This window comes from Homo sapiens, chromosome 12, assembly GCF_000001405.40.
Source record: "Homo sapiens chromosome 12, GRCh38.p14 Primary Assembly".
Lineage (NCBI taxonomy): Eukaryota > Metazoa > Chordata > Mammalia > Primates > Hominidae > Homo > Homo sapiens.
Genome location: NC_000012.12, coordinates 130726821 through 130729937, shown reverse-complemented (window position 1 = coordinate 130729937; position 3117 = coordinate 130726821). Strand labels below are relative to the sequence as shown.

The following is a 3117-nucleotide window of genomic DNA, read 5'->3' as shown; positions in this document are numbered from 1 at the left end:
GGGGCCTGTGTCCTCACTATTCCCTCCACCAGGCACGCGTTCCTCATGCACACCGGCTCCCTCATTCCCCAGATCACTCCCTCCACGGCCACCTTCCCAGGCCCTCCCGTGCCACCCCAGGCCCATCTCTCCCCAGTCCCTGGTTTCTTAGCACTGATTGTAACTGCCTTGCTAGTGTTGATTGGTATTTGTTTACTGTTTGCTTTTCCGTCCTGAGCACAGAGGCCCGGTGAGAGTAGGGGCCCTATCAGCGCCTCTGCTGAACTCTGGGCACCGCGGGCAGTGCATGGCACAGAGTCAATGCTTGGAAAGATGTCCTGATGGAATGACCCCGTCCTTTAAGTAGAGGGGCCAGGCAGATCCTCACATCAGCCCTGAGGCACGGGAAGACCTGCTGTCCTGCATCCACTCTGCAAGCTGACCAGCCTGGGCAGGAAGAATGCCTGGAAGCAGTTTCAGCGCAGGGGTGGGGAGGAGGGGTGGGGGAAGGTGGGGGAGGGGGTGAGGGAACTTTCTCTACTCCAGCCACAGAGTCCACAGCAGGAGAACCTTCTCTACTCCAGCCACAGTGGTCGGCCTGTCTCTCCCCCTTTCTTCCTCTCTTTCTTCTTCTGCTCCTCTTTCTCCTCCCCCCCCTCCCCACCCCCGTCACACCCACCCCTGCTGGAGGTGGAGGAAGGCCTGTCTCACCTGCAGAGGGAGACCGGGTGTGCACTGTGATGGGACGCAGGCCCCCTTAGCATTTCCTGAACTCGGGGGTAAGTTTCCCCAGTAGCTGGGCCCGGTGGTTCAGCCTTTCTTACTGTGCCCTGAAGGACTGTGATTTTCTGTTTTTCTCAGGTTTTGAAAGTAACCTTTATTTTTAAAAAGTTAATGTATGTGTTATAGGAAACTGAAAAACACAAGAAGCAAGCGCGGAGTCACCCACAGCCACAGCAGTGTACGGCGGGACGTGGGACTGTGATTTTCCAGCCCAGGAAGAGCTGCTCGGTGGCAGCCCCGGGACATGGAGCCATTGCTCAGACAGCCTCAGTGGGAGCTGCTGTGGCTGTTGGGACAGGTGTCTCCACAGGGAGTGTGAGTGCACGTGTGTGAGTGAGTGCGAGTGTGAGAGTGAGTGCGAGTGTGAGTGTGAGTGCGAGTGTGTGAGCGTGTGCATGCAAGTGCGACTATGTGACTGTGAATGTGAGTGCAAGTGAGTGTGAGTGTGTGTGTGTATGAGTGTGAGTGCAAGTGTGAGTGCGAGTGTGAATGTGAGTGCGACTGAGTGTGTGAGCGTGTGCATGCAAGTGTGACTATGTGACTGAATGAGTGCAAGTGAGTGTATGAGTGTGAGTGTGAGTGTATGTGAGTGCAAGTGTGAGTGCGAGTGTGAATGCAAGTGCGAGTGAGTGTGTGAGCGTGTGTATGCAAGTGCGAATATGTGACTGTGAATGTGAGTGCAAGTGAGTGTATGAGTGTGTATGAGTGTGTGAGTGCGAGTGTGAGTGTGTGTATGAGTGTGTGATGTGAGTGCGAGTATGAGTGGTGTGAGTGAGTGTGAGTGCTAGTGCGAGTGTGAAAGTGCGAGTTCGAGTGTGACTGAGTGCAAGTGAGAGTATGTGTGCGAGTGCGAGTGTGAGTGCAAGTGAGTGTGTGAGTGCGAGTGTGAGCGAGTGCGTGACTGTGAGAGTGCGAGTGTGTGTGTGAGAGTATGAGTGTGTGAGTGCGAGTGTGAGTGCTAGTGTGAGTGTGGATGCTCCACCTTCCCCCTGGCACAAGGCTCTGGATGAGAGGAGAGCTCTTCCCACAGTCCCAGAACCCAGGAGTCAGGGGACCTGAGATACCAACCTTCCATCCTGCACGGCGCAGTCTTACTTTGGTGGATTATCAAGGGCCGATTTTGTCTTCGATGCTTGCATCCTATGTGGATATATGTGCATGTGTGTGAATATGTGTAATATGTGTAATATCTAACATGTATATAGTATAAATTTAGTGATATTTAATAATAGCTTTTAAAAATACCTGTAAGATTTTATCGTAAATACAGCAAATTTACCCTTTTTAGGCTTAAGTTCAATGATTTTTACTAAATAATAGAGCTTTGAGTAAAAGAGAGATAGTGGTGTAAAAGGGATCTTTCACTCCCAGACTCTCAGTCCCCAGCCTCTCTCCCTATGGAGGTAACCGCCATTCCCATGGTGGGCATCCTGTAACAGTCAGTACACATACAGGCATCCTTGTCTAATATGCAAATACAAGACTACATAATACCATTCTTTTTTCCCCACTCAGTATGTTTTGGAGATCGTATTGTAGCACCACCTCATTGGGGGCTGCTCAACTGTGTGTCTATATCCTTTGCCAATTTTTTTCTATTGGATTGTTGGTCTTTTTCTTATTGATTTGTAAGAGCTCTTTATATATTAAGCAAGGTAGTCCTCAGCTTGTCAAGAGACAGACTTATGAAACCAATGACGCTTAAATTTCAGAGACCTCCCTTGCATAAGCTCTCATGAGACCCCGGAGAGGACCGAGCAATGGGTTCACAAAGTTGACTCAGGTTTATTTTAACTGCAAGCATTTAAAATGATTGTATCTTTCCACCGAGGTTTTCCCTGGTGTGAGTGATGTCAGAGAGGCTGTGGGCATTTTTGGGGACTAGGCTAAGATAAATCTAAGTTACAGTTACCTTGAATTTGAATTTAGAGGGATGTGTTTTAACTGGTTTGCTGTCACTTCTGGGTCTGTATTATCAGCAGCCATCATGGTACCACTTCCTGTCATGCTTCCCCCACTCTCTGTACTGAATTATTCTTCATGACCCTGTGTGACCAAAGCTTTTATCATCATATAACATGTATGGTATTTGGCACCACAAACATGAGTAGCGGGTGAGAAAGGAGGTTTGAAATGGGTGGAGACCAAAGCCAGTCTGTGGCTAATTCTTTCAGTCTTCAGATATAAACTGCAAATGGGGGATGTGGCTGTCACCAATGCACGGTGAGAAGAGAAGTTCTTCTGTCCGGAATATTCTCAATAATGCAGCAAACACAAGTATGAACCATCTTAAATTTATTTTGTTTCTTAATGGTATTCAAATAAAAAAGACGTCAGAATTCCTATGCTTAAAGG

The 3117-nt window shown here is 48.7% G+C and overlaps 1 annotated feature.

Annotated features, from left to right (window-relative positions):
- Positions 965 to 1508: an enhancer, noted in NCBI's record as "H3K4me1 hESC enhancer chr12:131212975-131213518 (GRCh37/hg19 assembly coordinates)". NCBI's record gives its function as "activates a minimal SCP1, AML or CMV promoter by ChIP-STARR-seq in naive H9 embryonic stem cells {active_cell/tissue: H9 hESC(naive)}" and the evidence as "EXISTENCE:reporter gene assay evidence [ECO:0000049][PMID:30033119]".